The following is a 24,970-nucleotide window of genomic DNA, read 5'->3' on the forward strand; positions in this document are numbered from 1 at the left end:
GGGAACACGTCTCATGAACAGTGCTGGCCTGCTGACCTGCCCATCTGTACATCCCCCTTCCTCAGGCTGAGGGCTCACCTTCACCCACACTCCAACCCTAGGCCTGGCTCACATCGGAAGGTCAGGGATGGGTGGGTGGATGGATTGATGGACTAGAGAAAACAGAGAAAGGCAAATAAAATTACCAACTAGCAAAAAGTAGGGGAGGAGCATGAGAACAGGCCTAAAAAGGACGAAACTCTTGAGTTGATGAAGAGGAAAATGGAGAATGAATTTGTGATTCACAGATGGCAGGTCAGTACAGATAGAACAACTCTGGCTTTCAGTTTTATTTAATGAAAATCTCTGATCCTTGAATTGTGAATCTTCTATGATTCTTTAAATAACTAATGCAAAATCATTAAGAAAACTTAATAGGATGAGGGGTAATTAACTTATCTACGACCGCAAGAGGCAGTAGATGTAAAAACAACAGACTTTATTTTGAAGGTGACTTTTTAGAAGTCAGAACCATATTTGGTGGTAACAAGTAAGAGGTGATTTAAGGTGGAGCCCCTATGCAGACACTGGCCTGCGGGCCCTGTCGTGCAGGATTGGGCTTGTCAGGTCTGACTGGGAGGGTGTCTGATGCTATCTTTGATTTTATATTCACTACCTGAGACTGCTCATATCTTTGAATTTTCCAGAGTTTGTTGTTACACTTGAAGAGAAGTTATTTTAATTTTCTATCTTGAGAAAAACAAACCATGCTAAAGACAGGTTTTGATACAGTGCAAAGCATATTTCTTGATCATGGGTTTAAAAGACTAGGTGCACTTTGGCTTAAAACTTGTTTTCTGTTTTCTTTTTTATTTCAGGATGTCGTTTGGGGATTAAACTCTTTGTTTACTGTAAGTACAGTGATCAAAATCCCAAGTTATTCTCAATTTCCTTGTTGCTGGTTTTAGACATTGCGTTAAGACATGGTTTTAACACAAAACCATGTTAAAAAATGAAACATGGACTGGGCACAGTGGCTCACGCCTGTAATCCTAGCACTTTGGGTGGATCCCCACTTGAGTCCAGGAGGCCCAAACCCCATCTCTACAAAAAATAGAAAAATTAGTTGGGCATAGTGGCACATGTCTGTAGTCCCAGCTGCTTGGAAGGCTGAGGTGGGAGAATTGCTTGAGCCCAGGAGGCAGAGGTTGCAGTGAGCTGAGATTGCACCACTGTACTCCAGCCTGGGCGACAGAGACTCTGCCTCAAAAAACAGATACACACAAAAACCCCCCAAAAACATGCTGGCTGGGCATGGTGGCTCACACCTGTAATCCTAGCACGTTGGGAGACTGAGGCAGGTGGATCACTTGAGCCCATGAATTCAAGACCAGCCTGGGCAACATAGCAAGACCTGTCTCTAAAAAAAAATAATAAATTAAAAAATAGCCCACCGTGCAAACAGTTACATAGTTACCCCTTTTTTCTATTGCTCTTTTATGAGTCAGAAGTAGAACAGTGAGGTGGGGAATGAGGGGACTTTGGAGTGACATGTGGGGAGGTTGTCTGGGGCAGGGGCCACAGCAGTCTCACTTCTGCCCTGCTGAGGTGGCTGACCCCGGTTTCTAGGGGATGAGGCTGGTTCCACTTCCCTTAGCCCCTTCCAGCAGGGTGGCTGTTACTCTGGGGTCACTTGGCCCAGTCCACTTCTGTGCCTGTGGCTACACTAGCCAGCCCAGGGAGTGGCCCTGTCACCTCCCAGGTGTTCTGGTTGGGGTGGATGATTTTGTGGTTACCCAGCCTTGAGGGCTTTTCATGAGTCCAGAACCTCAGAGTTGTTGTCTTTTTGTCAGTGATGAGCTGCTGAAGTTTGCTGTTCTCAGGAAATAGCATTTCTCAGACAATGGCCCTAGGGCAGGAAGAGGCTAAATGGACTCAGCCAAAAGCTGTTGGTTGGATTTTTTTTATACGATATTATACGTTCCTTTGAATTTTTACTTTTCGATTCATAAAGGCGCTTTTAAAGAAATAAGCTTCAGAGATCTGTTTGTGAAAAAATAGTTTTTGCTACTTTTGATAAAACCTAAGGTGCCTCTATGATCTTGGATGGTCCACCCAGGCCAGTGGGCTGTTTTATGAGCATCCTCCTGGCCAGGTGTCATGTGGGTCACTAGCTGTTGCCTACAGCAGAGGCACCTGCAGGACTCAGTTAAACTAGGGGCGGGTCTGCTCTTACTTGTCCTGTCATCTGAGGGCACAGTGTTCTTATCTTCAGCAAAAGCAGAGCCTCAAACTAAACTGAGTCCCTGCCCACCTTTTGTCTTTCTGTCAGATGTTAGCTGGTGAATGTCTATCACACAAGCAGAGAAATCAAGCACTTCCAGTGATTTCAGGATCTCCCTGAATCTCCATGGGAGGTCATACCTGATGGACACCTGGACTTGACAGTTTCTGCTGGTCTTAGCCACTTTGTTCTGCTTCTGTCTTTGGCTTTTTCATTGAAGTGAATGAAGTTTTATTTCTGGAGCCTAATTTGAAATCTGTCTGGCAGTTGTGCTGCATTGTAATATTGAGCCTTGGCATCTCCAGATTTGATTGAGAGAGCCAAAGCTGTGAACTCAGGCCCTTCTAGGGGCCCATATGCCGTCATTGTCATCAGCCACCATAATTTTTTTCTGGAGCCCACCATGTCTGTCCCAGGCTCCTTGGCTCTGAATAGGTTTTAACTGGCAACTTGCTGCAGGGGAATTAATGGGAGGAAAGAAACACTGGCTCCTTGGACTTAAAAAAAAAATTGTTGGCTAGGCGCAGTGACTCACGCCTGTACTCCCAGCACTTTAGGAGGCGCTGAGGCCAGCAGATCACCTGAGGTCAGAAATTGGAGACCAGCCTAGACAATATGGTGAAATCTCACCTCTACTAAAAAAAAAAAAAATTAGCCAGGCGTGGTGGCGGGCGCCTGTAATCCCAGCTACTTGGCAGGCTGAGGCAGGAGAATCGCTTGAATCCAAGAGGTGGAGGTTGCAGTGAGCCGAGATCACGCCATTGCATTCCAGGCTGGGCAACAAGAGCGAAAATCCGTCTCAAAAAAAAAAATTTTTTTTTAAGAAATCTGCTACAGCCACACTAGCTCCCCATCTCTCAGTGCTCTAAGTAAATTCTAAAAGAGCCAATCAAAATTGCTAATTAAGTCTGTAATGGTTATTCTGATCAACTCATTTATCTTAGGTCTAACATATAGTAAAGAAGATAAGAAATTCTGTGTGTCTGATAACAGTCTTTATCTAATATGTACTTTATATTTTTGCCTTTTTCTAGGACTTGGAATCTGATTTTCCAACTGTGAATGACTATAGAGATTTACAGTTTTTCTTTGCTATTTTGTAACATTTTAATGGTCACAGCCATATTAATCTCCAGGAACATAGTCCCCAAATTTAACATCATTCCTGAAGAGAAATATGGTTGTCTTGACAATGATCCATCCTACAGCCTGCGTTGGAAAGCCATGACTCATCATAAGGACAAATTGAGGCCCCCTGATTTTTTCTTTTTTTTTTTGTTTTTGAGACCGAGTCTTGCTCTGTCACCCAGGCTGGAGTGCAGTGGCGCCATCTTGGCTCACTGCAACCTCTGCCTCTGGGTTCAAGCAATTCTCCTGCCTCAGCCTCCCGAGTAGCTGGGATTATAGGCATGCGCCACCATGCCTGGCTAATTTTCGTATTTTTGGTAGAGACGGGGTTTCACCATGTTGGCCAAGCTGGTCTCGAACTTGTGACCTCTGGTGATCCTCCCATCTCAGCCTCTCAAAGTGCTGGGATTACAGGCGTGAGCCACCGTGCCCAGCCAGGCAAGCCCCCTGATTCTCAACAAGAGGGCTGAGCAGTGTGAAGATAAGATGCGGCTTTGGTCCAAAGTCCAGAGTGCTTCTTGGGGCTGAGGGGCGTAGCCATTGCAGTGCTTTTCCAGGGGAGAATGGGTTGGGCTCCCTCTCCTGAGTCGGGGGACATGAGCCTAGCGACACTGCTGTGCAGTTTGCTCGGGTTCTAGACATCGTCCCTATTGGCTGTGCATGGGAGGCTTGGTGAAGCAGAGAAAGGAAAGTCCAGGGAAGGGGCCCAAAAAGTCAAAACTGTTAATCACAAAACAAAAGAAAAAGTGAATTTTTATGGAAAAGAAGGGGATTTTTATTTGGAAATGCTTAATAATAGTGGTTTTCATTCTCCAGTTATCACAAATAGCATTAGAAATGAATGCGATTGCAATTTACTCCATCTTCACCAAACTTTGTAGAACTACATGTCAACATATCTCTGACTTCTTTCAGTCAGTTGTCAGTCACCATTTTGAAAAAAATACCCACATGTTCGATATTTTGGTATCACAAGCACTTGAGTTCTTAGTGGGATTCTCAGCTCTCCAGTTTGGTCTGCCATTTGCTAATTAGACTTCTCTTACTGTGCCATAAAATGAAGACTTTAACAGCAGAAAAGCAGTTCTCCCAATGTTTACTTTAAGTTTCTCTCTTTTTAAGGATCTTTTGAATTTTGATGATCCACTGAATATTGAAGCTGCAGAACATCATTTGCGGGACAAGGTGAGCCAGTAACAGGCTTATTCTAGGTTGATGTACTTGTCACGAACACGATTACTACTGTCTCTTGATTGGATAAATGAGAAATTTATCCACCAAGAGAGTGGTGGGATGCAAGGCTGGAATTCAAAGCAATTTGTAAACAATATGGTATAGTAAATGTGTGTAACCTCAGGAAAATGCTTTACCCAAGGTTGGAGAGAATTGGTGTGTGTTTGTTTTTTTGTTTTTTGTTTTGTTTTGTTGGTTTTTTGAGACAAGATTTCACTCTGTCACCCAGGCTGGAGTGCAGTGTTGCAGTAGTGGCTCACTGCAGCCTCCACCTTCTGGGCTCAAGTGATCCTCCCTCTTCAGCCTCCTGAAGTAGCTAGGACTACAGGTGCATGACACCACATTCAGCTAATTTTTTTACTTTTATTTTTTGTAGAGATGGAGTCTCGCTTTGTTGCCCAGGCTGGTCTTGAACGGTTGGCCTCAAGCAATCCTCCTGCCTTGTCCTCCCAAAATGCTGGGATTACAGGCATGAGCTACGGCGCCCAGCCGAGAAGTGATTTTTTTTTTATGTGATTTCCTAGTAGAATTTAGTATGAGTAATTTAAAACAGGTATAGCACTAGCATGGTGGCGTTGTGATTACACCTGTAATCCCAGCCTTTGGGAGGCCACTGTGGGCAGATTGCTTGAGCTCAGGAGTTTGAGACCAGCCTGGGCAACATGGCAAAACTCTGTCTTTACAAAAATTAGCCAGGCATGGTGGCACACGCCTGTGGTCCCAGCTACTCAGGAGGCTAAGGTGGGAGGATTGCTTGTGCCCGGGAAGTTGAGTGAGCCAAGACTGTGCCACTGCATTCCAGCCTGGGTGACAGAATGAGACCCCATCTTTAAATACATAAATAAGTAAATAGTAGGAACAGAGAAGGAGAATGGACGGTGTCACACCCACTAGCACCCTCCTGACCCCCAGCGGCCCACCTTATCCTTCCACACCTTTTGTTGAGCTCATACACATTCATACACACTTGACTTTGATTTTTACCCAAAAATAATGAGATCCTATTCATTACTGTTTTTAATTTTTATTTATTTATTTAATTTTTAGGACAGCACCCTGAGCTTGTCAAGGTTCAGAGAGCTCCCCCTATTCATTATTTTTAATCTTCAATTCCACTTCTAAAAATTTTTTTCCTCTAATGCAGTGCATAAATGATCAGTCATTCATTTCAGGAGCCACACTGAGGTCTTCCAGTAAGACACCTATTTAAGGAAGACCGTTTACCTAGAAACAATATATTAAAACTCACTGGGAAGAAAAAGGTATAACAAAACCCAAGCTGAAAGAATTATAGTTGCTGAATGTCACCTTTCCACTGTGCTTGAGTAGCAAGGCAGCAGTGGTTTTAACTGTCTGATAAAAGAAAGCATACAAGCCTTGAGGAGGGGAAGTGCTGTCAGGAAAGGGGGTCTGAAATGACTTTACCATTGGCCCAGTGCAAAGCACATGGAGCAGGAGCCTGCAGAGGCAGGCCATGTGTGGCTGGCGTCGAGGTAGCTCAGCTTAGGCCAGGGGCTCTGGCTGGATTTGGTGGTAGAACCTCGCACTCCGTTTTCTGAACCAGATTCCCTATGGCAGCCTTGCCACTGTGGCAGTCAGTCAGCCACTACTGTTCACTTGGCTGAAGTTGCTTTTTTTTTTGAGACAGAGTCTGTTACCCAGGCTGGAGTGCAGTGGTGCAGTCTTGGCTCACTGCAACCTCTATCTCCCGGGTTCAGGCAATTCTTGTGCCTCAGCCTCCTGAGTAGCTGGGACTGTGGGCATGCGCCACCACACTGGGCTAATTTTTGTATTCTTAGTAGTAGAGAGGGGGTTTTACCATGTTGCCCATGCTGGTCTCAAACTCCTGGCCTCAAGCAACCCACCCGCCTTAGCCTCCCAAAGTGATTACTGCACCCGACCTGATGTAGCTTTGAACACAGTTCTAAAACCCCTCTAGCTAGTTCTAGACATCGTGCTGAATGTTTAGCGCCTTGGCTTCTGTTAATGTTAGTTAGACCTACTGTGTGCCGCGACCAAGTAGGGCATTTGAAATGTGCCCTGCCAAGTCCTCGCTACAGTCTTGAGCTCAGGAGGTGCTGCCTGACCATGGCCCCAAAGAGTGGGCAGGAGCACCTCCGACAGGGAGGCAAGAGAAGTGCCACCCAGCATGCATCCTGCTCAGACTCACAAAACAAGTGGCAGGCATGGTGGGCATGGGGAGTGGTGCAGTGCAACCAGGCGGGCAGAGCAGGCCATCTTCTGAGGCTGGTGTGCTGCCAAGGAGGCAAGCTCTGTCCTGAGGGCTGGAGCAGCAGGGGTCCTCAAGAGAAGTAGCAGGGGTGTGAGGCAGCCCTGTGCTCACAGCTCCCCATGGGGGCAATCAGTCCCCGACCCCTGCCATCCGTCGGTGGTCCTGATGGGCTTGTGTTGTCTGGTAAAGCCTTGGGCTTGGTACTGCGCTGACAAGCCCTGGGCAAATGTGCCCCTTGGCCCACCCCTTGCAGGCATTCATGGCGGCACTCCTGTCTGCTGTCGTTGGCGAGGACTAGCCCTTGTGGACCAAGCCTTATCAGATAGAAAGTGATGGCAATAGGGGTACTCCCACAGCTCCAGGTGGAGAGATGTCTTCCATTTTACCTTTCTTTGTATGAAACAAGATTTCATATTCCTGATTTGTATAAAATAGGACTTTGCAACTGGTACACTTTTAGCCCCAGTAAAATGGACCTAAAATCTCCAAACAGTGGTGCCTCCACATGAAGCCTAAGCAGTGCCGCCCCATCCCCGTCTCCGTGCGGAGTCATAGTCACAGCTGGTGAGCACCGCATCCTTATGTCCACTCGTTCATCACTTATTTGGCTGGTGACCACTTATGTGCCAGGGGAGGTGCAAAGTGCTCAGGATGACTGTGGGAATGACAGTCCTTGTCCCTGTGGCGCACACATTCCGGCAGGAGGAGGCGGAGCATAGGTGAACAAACACGGCCAGACACCGTGGCTCACGCCTGTAATCCCAGCACTTTGGGAAGCTGAGGCAGGCAGATCACCTGAGGTCAGGAGTTCGAGACCAGCCTGGCCAACATGGTGAAACCCCATCTCTAGTAAAAATAAAAAAATTAGCCGGGCATGGTGGCAGGCACTTGTAATTCCACCTACTTGGGAGGCTGAGTCAGGAGAATCACTTGAACCCAGGAGGCGGAGGTTGCAGTGAACTGAGATCACGCCATTGCACTCCTGCCTGGGCAGCAAGAGCGAAACTCCATCTCAAAAAAATAATAATAATGAAAATTAAAATTTAAAAAAATAGGTGAACAAACACAGCATGTGAGGTGGAGAGGGGGCCACAGAGGGCCGGGTGGTGAGAGAGGAGCGCTCCAGAAAACCTTGGCTGGCAGTGCAAAGGCCCTGAGGCAGGAATGTGCTGTGGAGCTCAGGGCAGAGAAAAGAGGCCATTATGACTGGTGCACATCAGAGGAATGGAATAGTAGGAGCCAGGCACGCTTCCATGCACTTGACACAGAGTGCACTTGTTTCTCACAACAGCCCCTTGGGGCAGATACCATCATGATCCCTGTTTTGCTGCTGAGGACACAGCTGCCAAGAAGCTGAGAATCACCATGATTGAGTAGCCCATTGGAGGCAGAGCCCAGGACTTGGACCCACCTCCTTCTGGCTCCAGAGTCTGTGGTTTTCACTTGGGCCCTGTGCTTTGTGTCCCTTGCAGTAGGAGAGGAGGAGGGAGGCAGCAGAGGCTGGAGCATGGGGCCTGCTGGAGCATGGAGCCTGCTGCAGGCATGGACGCCGGGCTCTATGCTGGCTGAGGTGAACAGGGAGACTAAGAGTACATGGCATCTTTTGTCCTCCAGAACATGGAGAGGCAGGGGGCATTTATGGGGTCTTCATTTTACATCCTGTAAGCTTTTGCAGGGTCCTTGTGAGCTGCCAGTATTGTCTGGCTCTGGGGATTGTGGAAATGGCCTTGAGAAGGTTTTGTAAAAGGGCAGGCAGGGTTTCTGCACAGTCCCCCTTTGTTGCGGGGTAAAGGCCCATGTGGGAGGCTCCAAACGCCATCCTGTAGACAAATAGGGCGGTTGGCAGGGCAGAGGCACCTGGGTAGACTCAGAGCACTCCACTTTCTCACCCTGAGACCAGAGCAAGTCATGGGACCGTATCCATAGCTTCAAATTGGGAACTTGCCCGCCCTGGAAAGGGTCGCTGTGCTAACTAAAAGTGTGGCAGGAGGGCAGGCACCTGGTGCCCAGCTGGCCAGGACCATGCTCCAGGCAGGATCTCCCTGCAAGAGGGCATCGCGGCAGCAGCGAGGTATACATCGAGTGCCAGGTTATACCCTGCACATTGCCAGGTGTCGGGATTATGCAGTGGAATCAGCAAACAGGTTAGACTGAGGCTTAGACAGGAGGACTGAGGCTTAGCTAAGGAAATGGAGCTCATGCCCACTAAGAACTATGGTAACTGTGCTGTGTTCCCTGGGCAGTGGGGGCTGCATGGCATTGATGGGACCGAAGCAGTGTGATCCTGCAGGGACATCTGAGACCCAGCAGCTGTGTTGTAGGAGTGAGAGGGTTAAGAGCTCCAAGTCATTCTTACGGCTCATACAGTCCCATGGGATTTTACTCCTAACCTTGGGGAGACCAGATCCAGGGACAAACCTGACAGTGGCCCAGATCCGAGAAGATTGTTCCACCCATACTGGCCTGGGGTGATTCCTAGGTCCACACCGCCTTTGGTCACTGTCCACCTTCATTTCAATGCATGAGGATGGAGCTCTGTGGCACACCCAGCTCTCTTCTGGGCAGGGTGGTCATCCTGCCCAGAAGAGATGGGGGCCTGTACATGGGCTGTGAAGAGCAGGCACATTTTAAGTAGGTAGCAGCATCCAGGGAAATCATTCTAGGAAGACAAATCCAGAAACAAGGGTCTTCCTGAGAGCAGCAGCTGTGGCTCACATCCATTGTGGCCAAAGGAGTCTTGGCTTTGTGACCTCGACCACACTTTTCTGGGCTCCACTTTCCCCATCTGGAAAATGAGAAGGGATAGGTACCCCCTTAGGGTCCCTTCCACTCAGGCCTTCCACGTGCTCCCCCCTCAACATACCCAGCACTGTGTCTTGCGTGCAGTAGGCACCCAGGTCGTGGCGAAATGGCACTCAGACTCCGCAAGGTCCCAGTCCTTCTACCACCTTGGCGACCACAGGGGACCTTGGTGCTGGTGGATCTGACTTGTCCCTGAAGCGCTGCTTCACTCACTCACTCACTCCTCCTGTTCTTCTTTCTGTCCCCAATGCTGTTACTCCACAGGAGGACTTCCGGAATAAAGTGGATGACTACATCAAACGTTATGCCAGATGATAAAAGGGGACGATTGCAGGCCCATGGACTGTGTTACAGTTTGTCTCTAACATGAAACAGCAAGAGGTAGCCCCCTCTCCCGTCCTCATGCTCCCTCTCAGTCCCCTGGATTGCCCCAGTCCTGTGACCATGTTGCCCTGAAGAAGACCATCTTCATGACTGCTCATTGTAGATGGAGAATTCAACATAAATACAGCAAGAAAATGTGTTTGGGCTTCTGAAGAGTTGTCTGCTTACCTTAACATGTTTACTTTTTTGAACTTGTACTGTATAGGCTGTTGGTGAAATTCTTAAGAAGTTGTAATGAACTCAAAATTGAGGCCAGAGCTTGCTTTCCCTTTTCCCAAACAAAATTGGTTTTCTGCACAAGCGATGCTAATGATGTGTTCAGTGTAACTCGCAGATTGGCAATAAGATACCCGCTACAAACTGTGATTGGATGCAAAATCTCTTAGCTTCTTTCACGAATGTTGGCCCTGCCTAGATGTTGTGAAGCCTCCCAGAATGCATAGAGTCATTCACTGTAGATCTCTTATTGAAATGCGTATTTTATTTAATGTAAGTATATTTTGGAACAGATTTGTAATTTGTACAATTCAATGCTTTAATTATTTTTTCTATTCTCATTTAGTTTGTATTTTCATTGTATAGAGCAGACAGAAAGATGTTGGGTCAAGCAACTATTGAAGAGAAATACAAAGAAAATATGAAAGGCACATTATTCATTTTGTCCAAATGCAATGAGAATCTCACTCTTAAAAATCAGCTCTTGCTTTCGGGTCCGGATGTGGTGAGCACATTTTGGAGCCCTTTGAAGCTAGATTTGGATGATCAAAACAAAAAGGCAGGGAGCCCATTCTAACATGCTGCCCAGAGGAAACTGGCTGGAGCCTGGACCAGCTGGGGTTGATGCTTTTGCAGTGGTCATGTGATTGTGACCTGGTAGCTACTTATCAGAGAGCCAGACCCTGCTGTCCTGGGAGACAGGAGCGATGCCTCAGGAATCAGCCCAATGTCTGATGTCACTGAGACTGTACCTGTGGCCTTCTTCTGAGTTTGCTATGGCTCCAGGCCCTGCCGGTGGGGTGAGCCTCCTAGGCCTTGGAGGACCAGGAGTCAACAGTGGCATATGCCATCCTCGGCCAGGTTAATATACTGCAGAGGAAAAGCCCTGAAGAGAGGCAAGTGGATTTACTCCAGCATGTAGACATTTGAACCAGTGAAATCAAACACAAAATAAATGTCTGTCTAGTTTCATTTGCTGCCTGCCTAACACTCTCAAACTTAACTGCCAGCTTCCTTAGACCTCTGGATTCCCCCATCTGCCATCTACTGGGTTTAGTTTGTTTTTCTTAATTTATAGAATCTCTGATTGTGAGATCAGTCTGTCACGGAGACCCAGCAGGTGAGGAATGTAGGCCTTGCTTCCTCTTTGCACCCATTAGACTTGAGGGTGGCCCCTGGCTAACAGGCCACACAGAGCAGGAAGGGTGAGATTGGTTAAAGAGAATGATGGCATCTCAGGAGCTCAGGGCTTGTCCAGGAGACACATTAATCCCCACCTCTCAGGGCCTGGGAGAGGGAGGTACTGCAGCTTCACACTTTTCCTCTGCCTAGTGTCAGAGGAACTTGCCAGCTGAGCACTAGGCTTCCTCTCTAGGCAGGGCAGGAGGCCAGCAGCTAATTCCTGCCCCCTCTGACCCAGGAAATGAGGTTCTCTGCTTGGTGCCAGTCCCAGGCCCAAGTCAGGGCACATCCCATAGTAGTTGTTCGGGCTCCCTGGAGTTCCCCAGCTGGTGGTGCAGGTGTTGATGCAGGACTTTTCAGAAGAGCGCTTCTGTGGGAGAAACGCCTGCTGTCCAGTGGAAACGTTTATGCAGTGTACATGAAAGACAGTGTGCCCTCTGGACCACACTGAAAGTGGTAATATCAGTTATTCTGACATCAAAGTATCTGCACAGTAGAAAAACACTTTGCTCATTATCAGGGATTAAGCAATTCTTTCAAAATGTCCAGATAACTGAATCATCCCATTCTGTCTAGTGGAAATCCCCCAGAGATATGTTGCGCACACACACCCCATCTTAGGAGCACACTCAGATGCAGCCCATCGCAGTAAGCAGCAGCTGTTGTCCTGGGTGCTTGGCCAGTGGGGCCCTTGGGATCTGTTGGGTGACTGTGGGACCCAGTTTCCTTCCAGACTTTTTGAATTCTTAGCATTCCCCTCCCTCTTTCACAGGCCAAAGTCACATTTCTGGCTCCAGCGCATGTGCCCCCAACCAACCGGGTACTAGTTGGTGATTTCTGATCTGTCAGGGAATGGGAATCCCTATACTCGGCCAAAAGGCCAGTCCTGGAAATAGGTGAGAGTGGGCAGGCCCTTGGGGAAGTGAAGCTCTTGGGAAGCTCTGACATCCAGTTGGACATCCAGAACCTTTGCTTCCTGAATCCTGGTTCTTGGCTGGACTCCAGAGGGTCCTTATGACTATTGCTTAGAATTTGATGCATAAGCTGTATGTTTTTCAAGCACTCCTAGAAGGAAACACTTCCAGGGTAAGCCTCTCAGAGGAAGGCTCACATCTTACCTCTGATCTTCCCCTAAATAATCACCAGCAGGTGACCATCTCTTTGCAGCCTTTCTACTAAGGAGCCAAGGCAAGAGTATTACTCAGATATTGAAAATGGATCTCAGCTGTGCCCCTCGCCTTTTCTCCCACGACTCGTCATCTGTGATGTTTCCACCAGCTTTATTTGCAGAGCACAGACCACAGGGAGCCAGTGTCTTGGGTTAGGGTTGTCTTCACCTGCCCTCGTCTCCAGGCACGAGAGGCCTGAGAGGCTGCTCAGGAGCTAAAACATTGTGAATGTCCATTCTTGTAAAGGATCAGGTACCTTAGTATTCGGCAGTTTACATGATTCAAAGCACCTGTGCATGTTTTCCTCTTTCTCTAGTTACTTGCACACTTGTCTGGAAAGACCTTGTGGGGTGTAGAACACAACAGTGTTCATAGCTAGGCCAGTCTCAGCAGTGTCCTAGCCCATTCAGAGGCCATCTGGTGATAGACCCAGCATGTTTTTTTCTTATGGCAGCAGAAAGATTGAATAGCCTTTCTGCTGGATTCTAGACCCCCAAAAAAGAAAAATAAAATCCCAGTGGGCAAACTCCCAGGCGGTGGTGATCACTAAAATCTGTCACAGTCTTCAGTGAACAAACCCCACTTGCTGTTCCTGGGGTTGCTCTGCTGCCACTCCCCATCCCCGCTTATTTAAAGAACTGCTGTGAAAAATCAGTTCCAGTTTCTTCTGTAAAACCCACGGCACTACTGGTGCATTCTGAGTTACACTTGTTAAGTAGAACCTTCTTATTCCCTAAGAGATTTTCAAAATAAGTCACTTATTCCTGTTAACATCGCCCTTTTTGTCAATAATCAAATCAAGCAGGTTGTGTTTTTTTATGTAAGAATTCCAACAAGAAGATGTAAACCACCAATTCAGGATTGTTTTCACTTTCTTTTTTTGAGATGGGGCCTCACTCTGTCACCCAGGCTGGAGCTAGAGTACAGTGGTGTGATCTCAGCTTACTGCAACCACCTCCTGGGCTCAAGCAATCCTCCCACCTCAGCCTCCCCAGTAGCTGGGACTACAGGCATGCACCACCATTCCCAGCTAATTTTTTGTATTTTTGGTAGAGATGGGGTTTTACCATGTTAGCCAGGCTGGTCCCAAACTCCAGAGCTCAAACAGTCTGCCCGCCTTGACATCCCAAAGTGCTGGGATTACAGGTGTGAGCCACCGCACCCGGCCTTCACTTTTATCCATATGTTTCGCTTTGGAAATTCAAGTTTGCTACACGTTCACTATTCTTCATAAAATAAGTCTAGTAAAATGTTGATATATAGTCTTAGTAAAATGTTTAACTTGTTCTTTGCCAAAGAATAATTTGAAAAATGAGAAAACCTGTCACTCCCTTCTTTCCTCCCTCCTATAGCCCCACCTAAAATTAAACATATTGAACAGCTGAGAGGGGCTGGTTCAGAGGCGTCTGTATCACCTATCTACGCCACCTCTCTTACCCCGGGTTTCCATAGATTACAGAAATTTATTTATTGAAAGAATTGTGGTTTGAAAAAATAAAGTTCTTCAAGAAACCCACTGATGGGAGCATTTGGGGACCCCGCATTGTTAAGAATATCTGTTTGTTCACACAGTTATATAAATAACCGAATGATCACTTCAAAAAATTCATCTTAGGCCTTGCTGATTCTCATTGGCAAATTCACTGAGCCAGAGTTCTTCCAGTATATTCACTGCTTTTTTTCTTTTTCTTTTTTTTTTTTTTTTAGCTTATGTCAGGGCCAGATGGAAATGACAGTGCCTACTCCAAGAGTTCCCCATGCTGGGAAAGAGAACACCTGTGAACAGGGCCTCCATGCACAGCCAACTGGGGTAAATACTTGTCAGGGAGGCACAGTAACCAGGAGAGACTTACATAGTAGCCATAGTGGCTTAGAACTTCCATTTTGTCTCTTCCTTGGGCCTCTGGTCCACAGTTCATGTGTGGGTGTTTCCCCTTCACTGATAATCTAGGTGGTACCCAGGTGATGCTCTTGTGGCCTATAAGGCCTCCTCTGTCTGTATTTGTTGTATTTTTCAGTGTTGGGTTTTCATCACCTCATTGTCCAGCCTCATGACGTTCCTAGCAGCTCATCACTCGTATGTCATTCCTGATGCCTAATGTTCGAAGATTACTTTGTCTCAAACCAGTCATTGATATTACCAGATATCCCTTTCTAAAAATATGTATTCCAGCCTCAGTGACCCTGTTCACCTGTGTCCTTTCCTCTCCTACCCATGGTGAGGTGGAGGAGCTGTAGCTGGGAGCAGCCCTGTGGGTCAGTAGCCTTGTTTCCTATTCCTAAGAGGTTTCCGCCTCAAGTTAGTCTGGAAAGAGAGAACCTGTCTCCCTGGGGAATGCTGTGGCAAGGAGCTCCAGATAGAGCAGGAGACACAGGTGGAGCCCAGTGACTGTGGAGCCCACTCACATGGCTGTGTGCTCTGCCATACCCATCACAGTGGCATGTGACAGAAACCATGGTCATTGTAGGAAGGGCAGTGGGATGTGGAAGAGCTGGCCAGACAGGCAGGTGAGACTAAAACCCGTGGGGATGGCCTCCTCACCCACATCCTCTCCACTTTACTGCTGCAGAGGTTTCTGAAACACCTCTGACCATTCCACCTCTTCCTCTTGCCTTCAGAATAAGCATTCCTGTGCCTGGCATACAGAGCCCATTGTCACTGGGCCCCTGTCCACCCTGCCAGCCACTGCCCTGAAGACCCTGGCCTCAAAGTAGTGCTTAACATGCTCTGAGATGAGGCCCACTCTTCCAAGACACTCAGCCTCCCTCTTGGGACTCCTTCAAGGGTTAGGTCATATAGTGCCACTGCTATGAAACTGTTCCTGCTCCTACAGGTAGACGAACACTTTCTGAGTATCCTTGTCTTTCCCAAGCTTCCAGAAGCACCAAGGGTGTGGACTGCACTTATTCACATATGTATTCCTGCCTCTCCCAGGAGTCAGCATCTGGAGTACAGGCCTTAGCCAGCTGCAGTAACTGAGTAGGTTACTACAATGTGATTTTTGGCTGTTGAGTAAATATGTAGTAGCTTAAGAGCACAGTACACCAGCTGCAAGCCTGCTTGTGGCAGTCAACCAGGAGCTGGGTGGACTTACTAGCCCAGGCAATAGCTGAGGATGGCGTCTGGCACCACCCAGGCAAGGTAACTGCCTTTCCATCAGCTGACAGATGTCAAGGCTGAGCAGAGTTTACTTTGCTTGAGTAAAGCCTGTGGGAAAATGCTGCAGAAAAGAAGAAGTAATATCCTGGAGATTCTAAGGGTAAACATGATTTTGGAAATGAAGTGTAGAATGAAAAAAAATCTTTTAGGGAAGAAAAATCCACATGTTTAGGAAAATGCAGTAAATTGCACCTTTGACTAAAAAAGCCCTAAGTAGGCAATAGGCCAAAGTGAAAAGGAAACAGAATGAAACTATAAAAGAACTAGATGAAGAAACTAAAATCATCGTAATAAAGTGCACAGCAAAGGGCAGAATTGATGCTGAGAAAGTAGATCAATGATGTGGAGACAAATTTGAGGAATTCTCCCAGAATGCAGAAGAAAACAGACAAAAGCCATCGGAAGGAAGATAACAGGACAGAGGGGACTTGTGCTTGCAGCTTGAGTAACAAGGATTGGATCTACCCTCCTATATGAAATAAGCAAAAACCCAACAATATCTATGGCTTTTCAGGCTTTCAGACATGACGTCAGGCAGTTCATGACAGCGATTTAAATTAACAATCTCCTAACATAATAGAAATGTCCAAGATACAAATGAAAATCACTCATCATACCAAGAACCAGGAAAATTGCAACTTAAATGAGAAAATACAATAAACTGACACTAATCATGAGCTGAATCAGATGGAATTTTCTTATAAGTATTTTTAAAGTACCCATCATAAAAATGTTTCAAAAGCTGTTAATGAATTGTTCTGAGACAAATAAAAAAATAGAATATCTCTACAAGGATATAGAACTTATAGAAAACCAAGTGGAAGTTATTGAACTAAAATGTGCAGTGACAGAAACTTTAAAAATTTACTGGGTGAGCCCAATAGTAGAGTAGAAATAACAGAAGATACAATCAGCAAATCTGAGGACAGATCAATAGAATTTACTAAATCCGAAGAGAGAGAAACCAAAAAGGGGGAGTGCAGGAGGACAAAGCCTCAATGGAACAATGACAAAAGATTCCATTTCCTATTGAGTTCCAAAAGGAAAGGAGAAAGGGAGTAAGACTAAAAGAGTATTTGAAACAATAAATGTGAAAACTTTGCAAATGTTATGGAAAGACTCAGAGATTGATGAAGCTAAGTGACCCCCACACAGGATAAACTCAAAGAAATTCATGCCAAGAGGCCGGGCGTGGCGGCTCACGCCCGTAATCCCAGCACTTTGGGAGGCTGAGGCGGGCGGATCACCTGAGGTCAAGAGTTTGAGACCAGCCTGACCAACATAGAGAAACCCCATCTCTACTAAAAATAAAAATTAGCTGGGTGTGGTGCTGCATGCCTGTAATCCCAACTACTCGGGAGGCAGAGGTTGTGGTGAGCCGAGATCGCGCCATCGCACTCCAGACTGGGCAACAAGAGTGAAAGTCCGTCTCAAACAAAAGAAAAAAAAAATCCATGCCAAGGCAAATAATAAGTTAACCATCTAAAAACTGAAAACAAAAAGTCCTGAAAGCAGCCAGAGGAAAATAGTGCATTACCTATAGGGGGACACCAGTTTGAAAGCAGTGAATTTCTCCTCAGAAATCATGGAGGCCAGAAGGAAGTGGCATGGTATTATAAGTGTTGAAAGGAAAATAACTGTCTACCATGAATTCTATATACAGCAAAACTTACTTTGAGGAATGAGTGAAATCAAACATTCTTGGATGAAATAAAACGAAGAATTAGTTAATAGCAGATCTACCCATAAAGTTTAGCTAAAGGAAGTTCTTCAAACAAAAGAAGTGATAAAATAATCTTCATAAATCATATGTGTTGGTTAAATTAAAAATCATGCTGTCTGATGCTCAATACAATGATATTTAAAAGTAGAGGAAATAGGGCAGGGTGCAGTGGCTCATGCCTGTAATCCCAACACTTTGGGAGGCCGAGGCAAGAGGATTGCTTGAGGCCAGGAGTTTGAGACCAGCATGGGCAACATAGCAAGACCCCATCTCTAAAAAATTAGCCCGTCATGGGGCCAGGTGCGGTGGCTCACGCCTGTAATGCCAGCACTTTGGGAGGCCAAGGCAGGTGGATCACGAGGTCAGGAGATTGAGACCACCCTGGCCAACACGGTGAAACCCTGTCTCTACTAAAAATACAAAAAAATTAACCGGGTGTGGTGGCAGGCGCCTGTAGTCCCAGCTACTCGAGAGACTGAGGCAGGAGAATGGCGTGAACCCGGGAGGCGGAGCTTGCAGTGAGCCGAGATTGCGCCACTGCACTCCAGCCTCGGTGACAGAGCAAGACTCCATCTCAAAAAAAAAAAAAAAAAATTAGCCCGTCATGGTGGTGTATGCATGTAGTCATACCTACTCAGGAGGGTGAGGCAGGAAGATGACTTGAACTTAGGAGTTAGATGTTACAGTGAGCTATGACTGCACCACTGCACTCCGGCCTGGCCAACAGCAAGACCCTCTCTCTTGGAAAAAAAAAAAAAAGAATAAAATTAAATGCAAGTAAGATTTCCTTATTTCATTAGAGGTGGTAAAATGTTGACACTAGTAGACTTAATAAGTCATATATGTATATTGTAATACCAGAGCCACTAAGGAAACTACAGAGACACACTAAGAGACAGTATGAATAGAAATGATATCAGTGAAATTGGCAAAGAACTTATTTTGTTTTTTTAAGACAGGGTCTTGCTCTGTCACCCAGGCTGGAGTGCAGTGGCGCAATCTTGGCTCACTGCAACCTCTGCTTTCCGGGTTCAAGCGATTCTCTTGCCTCGGCCTCCCTAGTAAGTGGGATTACAGGCATGCGCCACCACGCCCGGCTAATTTTTCTATTTTTAGTAGGGACAGGGTCTCACCATGTTGGCCAGGCTGGTTTCGAACTCCTAACCTAAAGTGATCCACCTGCCTCAGCCTCCCAAAGTGCTTGGATTACAGGCGTGAGCCACCATATCCAGCCAAGAACTTCTTAAAATGTTCTCTTCCATAAAAGTAACAAAACTGGCAAAAAATTATCAGTCACCTTTTTATAGCTCTGGAAATTAACCATAGGCTTGAAGCAATCCAGAGCATTTACTCAAGAAAAATATGTAAATCTCATTAACAACAGAGGTTTATGGCATTTTTAACTTACACTATTCCTCTTTCTTTTTTCTTTTCTTTTTTTTTTGGACAGAGTTTTGCTCTTGTTGCCCAGACTGGAGAACAATGGCATGATCTCGGCTCACCTCGACCTCCTGCCTCCCGGGTTCAAGCAATTGTCCTGCCTCAGCCTCTTGAGTAGCTGGGATTACAGGCATGCACCACCATGCCTGGCTAATTATGTATTTTTAGTAGAGATGGGGTTTCTCCATGTTGGTCAGGCTGGTCTTAAACTCCTGACCTCAGGTGATCCACCCACCTTGGCCTCCCAAAGTGTTGGAATTACAGCTGTGAGCCACCATGCCTGGCACACTATCCCTTTTTCACACCCTCAAACTCCACAGTAGCCTTAAACACATTTACAGTGCAAATGCACAGCCTAGACACCACTGGAGGGAGCAGAACATGGCTGGAGATCCTTCAAAGCCTCATTCCTGGAGAAATGTGTCCTTTTCTTCCTATGTTGCCCAGGCTGGAGTGCAGTGGTATGATCTCAGCTCACTGCAACCTCCGCCTCCCAGGTTCAAGTGATTCTCCTGCCTCAGCCTCCCGAGTAGCTGGACTACAGGTGCACGCCACCACACTCTGCTAATTTTTGTAGTTTTGGTAGAGACGGGGTTTGACCATGTTGGCCAGGCTGGCCTCAAACTCCTGACCTCAGGTGATCCGCCCGCCTCAGCCTCCCAAAGGGCTGGGATTACAGGCATGAGCCATGACGCCCAGCTGAGAAATGTGTCATTTAACAAATCTTGTAGTTCCATGAAAAGCCCCACTTGCAAGGCTGTATTTGACTTGAGTTAGAGCTCACTGAGGACAAAACTGCTTTTCCCAGGTTGCAATATATAAGTGCAGTATACTGTAATCACTAGCAATGAACAATCTAAAAATGAAAATAAGAAAAGCAATTCCATTTGTGATGGCATAAAAAATACTTAGTGATACATTTAATAAAAGAAACAAGACTTAGAGACAAAAACTACAAAATACCACTGGAAGAAATTGAAGACAAATAAATGGAAAGCCATTCTGTGTTTATGTTTTGCAAGACTTAATATTGTTAAGATGACAATACTCCCTAAATGACATGGTTTGGCTGTGTCCCCACCCAAATCTCATCTTAAATTCCCACGTGTTATGGGAGGGACCCGGTGGGAGGTAATTGAATCATGGTGGCAGGTCTTTTCCGTGCTGTCCTCGTGGTGATGGGTGAGTCTCACGAGATCTGATGGTTTTATAAGGGGGAGTTTGCCTGCACAAGCTCTCTCTTTGCCTGCTGCCATCCACATAAGATGTGACTTGCTCCTCCTTGCCTTCCACCATGATTGTGAAGCCTCCCCAGCCATGTGGAACTGTAAGTCCATTAAACCTCTTCCTTTTGTGTATTGCCCAGTCTCCGGTATGTCTATCAGCAGCATGAAAAAGGACTAATACACTAAATAAACGTACAGATTTAGTGCAAACCCTCTCAAGCTAATCCTAACAGTCTTGAGAAAATTTAAGGGGCCCCAAATAGCCAACACAGTCTTGAAAAGGGACAAATCTAGAGGACTCACACTTTGTGATTTCCAAACTTAACTATAAAGTCATAGTAATCAAGACAGTGTCATAAGGAGAGATGTATAGATTAATAGATAATAGAGTCCAGAAATAAACCTATGCATCTATGGTCAATTGAGTTTTTTTTTTCAAGTGATAGGGGTCTCACTATGTTTTCCAGGCTAGACTTGCACTCTTGGGCTCAAAGGATTTTCCCACCTCAGCCTCCTGAGTATGTGGGACTATGCCTGACTTGATCAATTGATTTTTTTTTTTCTTTCAGGCAAGGTCTGGCTCTGTTGCCCAGGATGCAGTGCAGTGGTGCGATCTCAGTTCACTGCAACCTCTGGCCTCCCAGGTTCAAGCCATCCTCCCACCTCAGCTTCCCGAGTAGCTGGGACTACAGGCATGCGCCACCACGCCTGGCTAATATTTTTGTATTTTTTGTAAAGACAGGGTTTCACCATATTGTCTAGGCTGGTCTCAAACTCGTGAGCTCAAAGCAATCCACCCACCTTGGCCTCCCAAAGTGCTGGGATTACAGGCATGAGCCACTGCACCTGGCCTACAGTCAATAGATATTTGATGAGTATCAAGACAATTAAATGGTAGAAAGAATAGTCTTTTCTTACCTCATGTCATATATTATAATACAAAGATTAAGTCAAATGAATTAAAGACCTAAATACAAGAGCCTGGCTAATGGTGAAACCCTGTCTCTACTAGAAATACAAAAATTAGCTGGGCATGGTGGCACACGCCTGTAATCCCAGCTACTTGGGAGGCTGAGGCACAAGAATTGCTTGAACCTGGAAGACAGAGGTTGCAGTGAGCCGAGATCGAGCCACTGCACTCCAGGCTGGGCAACAGAGCAAGACTCCATCTTACGGAAAAAAAAAAAAAAAAGTTTACTGGTTGCTAGGGTATGGGAAATGAATACTAATGAGCACAGTTATTTCTTTTTGGGGTGTTGAAAATATTCTGGAATTGGTGATGGTTGCACAACCTTGGGAATAGACGAAAATCCACTGAATTGTGTACTCTAAAAGGGTGAAGGTTATGGTATGTGGATTATATCTCAGTTTTTGAAAACAGTATAAAGAAATCAAGACAGAATACTGAAAACTGTTCAGGTAACCCAAAGGAAGGCAAGTAAAGAGATACAGCTTGAAACCCAGATGAAACAAACAAAACGGTAGATTTAAGAGCTAACATATCAGTAATTCTCTTAAGTCAAAGATTGGCAGAGTGGATTAAAAGACACAACTCAATTATATTGTTTAGTAGAAACTCCCATCAAATTAAAAAACATTTGTAGATTGAAAGGATGAAAACAGATATGCGGAATTTAATTTAAAAAAAAAGCAGCAGTGACTATATTGATATCTGATCACTTAGACTTCAGAGCAAAGAAAATTGGCAGAGACAAAGACAGATATTACATAACAGAAGATTCACCACCAGACAGTCCTACATGTGCCTTTACCAACATCAGACTCTCAAAACACATGAAGTAAAAACTGATAGAGCTGAAAGGAGACAGACAAATCTGCAGTCACAGTTGGAAATTTCAGTTGCTGAGTCATTACAGTGAACATGCAATTACTGTATGCCCCAGCTACTACATTCTTGACCATTTATCCCAGAGAAATGAAAACTTACGTTAACACAAAAACCTTTACACCAATGTTTATAGTAGCCTTATTTATAACAGCTGTAATCTGGAATCAGCCCAGGTGTCCTTCAACCTGTGAATGGTTAATCAAACTGTGGTACACACATACCCTGGAATACTACTCGGCAGTGAACAGCAATAAGCTATTCACAGCAACTTGGACCAGTCTCCAGGAATTACACTGAGGAAAAAAAAAAAAAATCTCAAGAAGTAACATGCTGTATGTTTTTGTTTATGTAACACATTTGGAAAAACAAAATTTTAGAAACACAAGAGTTTAGTGGCTGGCAGAAGTTAGAGACAGGAATGGGCAGGAGGAGGGGGTGGATTTGTTTTTAAGACTAATACAAGGATCCCTGTAATGATGGAAATGTATCTTGATTGTGGTAGTGGATACACAAATGTACACATCACAAAATTGCATAGGGCTAAACACCCCACAAATGAGTAAAGCTGGGGAAAAACAATGAATTGTATCAATGTCAGTATCCTGGTTGTGAGATATATATACATATATATATATATATATATGTATATATATGTATATATATATATATATATATGTATATATATGTATATATATATATGTATATATATGTATATATATATATGGAGAGAGAGAGAGGTGGAGAGGAAGTATTGCTCTGTTGCCCAGGCTGGAGTGCAGTGGTGATCTCGGCTCACTGCAACCTCTGCCTCCCGGGTTCAAGTGATTCTTCTGCCTCAGCCCCCCGAGTAGCTGGGAGTACAGGCACATGCCACCACACTTGGCTAATTTTCGTATTTTTAGTAGAGACGGGGTTTCACCATATTCACCAGGCTGGTCTCGAACTCCAGACCTCGTGACCTACCCACCTCGGCCTCCCAAAGTGCTGGAATTACAGGCGTGAGCTACCTCGCCTGGCCCTGGCTGTAATGTTACACTATAGTTTTCAAGACGTTAATCATTGTGGACAGCTGGGTAAAGGATCTTTTTTTTTTTTTTTTTTTTTTTTTTGAGACAGAGTTTCACTCTTGTTGCCCAGGCTGGAGTGCAATGGTGCGATCTCAGCTCACTGCAACCTCCGCCTCCCGGGTTCAAGTGATTCTCCTGCCTCAGCCTCCCAAGTAGCTGAGATTACAGGCATGCGCCACCATACCTGGCTAATTTTTTGTATTTTTAGTAGAGACAGTATTTTTGTATAGTTTTTTGTATAGTAGAGAGTATTTTTGTATTTTTGTTGGTCAGGCTGGTCTCGAACTCCCGACCTCAGGTGGTTCATCCGCCTCAGCCTCCCAAAGTGCTGGGATTACAGGCGTCAGCCACCACACCCAGCCAGGATCTCTTTCATTTATTTACATCTGCATGTAAATCTACAATGATCTCAATACAATTTTTAATTAAAAATATATATCCAGGCCAGGAGTGGTGGCTCATGCCTGTAATCCCAGCCCTTTGGGAGGCTAAGGCAGAGGTCAGGATGGCTTAAGCACAGGAGACCAGCCTGGGCAACATGGTGAGACCCCATCTCTACAAAAAATACAAAAGTTAGCCAGGTGTGGTGGCATGCACCTGTAGTCCCAGCTAGTTGGGAGGCTGAGGTGGGAGGATTGCTTGAGCCTGGGAGGAGGTTGCAGTGAGCTGAGATCATGCCACTGCACTCCAGCCTGGGTGACAGAGCAAGACTCTTGTCTACAAAAATAAAATAAAATAAAATAAAATAAATCCAGCACACACCAGAGAAAATATAATATGCCTAGCATTCAATTAAAAATTACAGGCCGGGCTCGGTGGCTCACACCTGTAATCCCAGCACTTTGGGAGGCCGAGGCAGGGGGATCACCTGAGGTCAGGAGTTTGAGACTAGCCTGGCCAACATGGAGAAACCCTGTCTCTACTAAAAATACAAAATTTAGCCGGGCATGGTGGCGCATGCCTGTAATCTCAATTACTTGGGAGGCTGAGGCAGGAGAATCACTTGAACCTGGGAGGCGGAGGTTGCAGTGAGCCAACATCACGCCCCTGCACTCCAGCCTGAGCGACAGAGAGAGACTCCATCTAAAAAAAAAAAAAATTAGAGAAAGACACTGGATGGGTTTAACAGCAGCTTATATGTTACAAAAGAAACATGGACTTCAAGATAGAGCCACAAAGACAATCCAAAATAAAGGGAAAAACTGGGAACCTCTCCCCCCATGAGAACTTCATGAGCTGTGAGATAACTCATAATTGTGAATCCCCAAAGAAGCAGGGGAGAAAGAAATATTTGAAAAGAAAAAATTTCCAAATTGATAAACACTCTAATCCAATGGGTCTGAAAAGGTCAACAAACCCAAAGCACAAGAGCATGAAGAACGCTACCCCATAGTGAAGTCTCATAATGAAACTGCTCAAAATCAGTGACAGAGCAAAATATTTTAAATAGTTTTTTAAATTTATTGTGAAGAATGGGATCTCGCTATATTGCCCAGGCAGGTCTGGAACTCATGGGCTTAATCTGTCCTCCCACCTCTGCCTCCCTAACTGCTGGGAGTACAGGCGTGAGCCACTGTGCCTGGCCAGAGCAAAATATTCAAAGCAAGCAGGAAGGAAATAAAGAGACAACATATAGAGGAACAAAGATAAGAGTGACAACAGATGTCTCGTGCAGACAATACAAGCAAGAAAATATTGGAGAAGTAACTCTAAAGTGCTGAAAGAAAAAATCTCAAGCCAGAATTCTAGATCTAAGGAACATATCAAATATGAAGGCAAAATAACAAGTTTTCATGTGTACAAAAGCTGAAGGAAGCATACCAGCAGACTAGCACTACAAAGTCCTTTGGCAGAAGAAATGATACCAAATGGAAACGTGGAACCACATCAGGGTT

At 45.5% G+C, this 24,970-nt stretch overlaps 1 protein-coding gene and 1 long non-coding RNA gene across 9 annotated transcripts in view, besides 3 other annotated features; both read left to right on the plus strand.

Annotated features, from left to right (window-relative positions):
- The window catches only part of UBE2F (ubiquitin conjugating enzyme E2 F (putative)), a 75,769-nt gene extending 64,351 nt beyond the window's left edge, over positions 1–11,418 (plus strand). For 6 of the 8 annotated variants that reach the window (NR_103500.2, NR_103498.2, NM_080678.3 and 3 more), the window contains 3 exons: positions 858–890; positions 4,514–4,576; positions 9,924–11,418. Coding sequence is in view for 5 of the 8 variants with exons in the window: in NM_080678.3 (NP_542409.1) it covers positions 858–890; positions 4,514–4,576; positions 9,924–9,974 (147 nt within the window). In the remaining 3 variants the exon portion in view is untranslated. The remainder of the gene's footprint in view (positions 1–857; positions 891–4,513; positions 4,577–9,923) is intronic. The other 2 variants (NR_103499.2, NM_001278308.2) reach the window with 2 other exon arrangements.
- The window catches only part of UBE2F-SCLY (UBE2F-SCLY readthrough (NMD candidate)), a 132,469-nt gene that overhangs the window by 64,420 nt on the left and 43,079 nt on the right, over positions 1–24,970 (plus strand). The window contains exons 6-7 of the long non-coding RNA NR_037904.1: positions 858–890; positions 4,514–4,576. This is a non-coding gene — a long non-coding RNA (UBE2F-SCLY readthrough (NMD candidate)). The remainder of the gene's footprint in view (positions 1–857; positions 891–4,513; positions 4,577–24,970) is intronic.
- Positions 1,385–1,580: a silencer, noted in NCBI's record as "fragment chr2:238941390-238941585 (GRCh37/hg19 assembly coordinates)". NCBI's record gives its function as "represses an EF-1alpha promoter that drives an FKBP-Casp9 reporter gene in an ReSE screen in K562 erythroleukemia cells {active_cell/tissue: K562}" and the evidence as "EXISTENCE:reporter gene assay evidence [ECO:0000049][PMID:32094911]".
- Positions 8,418–8,918: an enhancer, noted in NCBI's record as "H3K27ac hESC enhancer chr2:238948423-238948923 (GRCh37/hg19 assembly coordinates)". NCBI's record gives its function as "activates a minimal SCP1, AML or CMV promoter by ChIP-STARR-seq in primed H9 embryonic stem cells {active_cell/tissue: H9 hESC(primed)}" and the evidence as "EXISTENCE:reporter gene assay evidence [ECO:0000049][PMID:30033119]".
- Positions 11,344–11,536: a silencer, noted in NCBI's record as "fragment chr2:238951349-238951541 (GRCh37/hg19 assembly coordinates)". NCBI's record gives its function as "represses an EF-1alpha promoter that drives an FKBP-Casp9 reporter gene in an ReSE screen in phorbol 12-myristate 13-acetate-treated (for megakaryocytic differentiation) K562 erythroleukemia cells {active_cell/tissue: K562(+PMA)}" and the evidence as "EXISTENCE:reporter gene assay evidence [ECO:0000049][PMID:32094911]".

This window comes from Homo sapiens, chromosome 2, assembly GCF_000001405.40.
Source record: "Homo sapiens chromosome 2, GRCh38.p14 Primary Assembly".
Taxonomy (NCBI): Eukaryota; Metazoa; Chordata; class Mammalia; order Primates; family Hominidae; genus Homo; species Homo sapiens.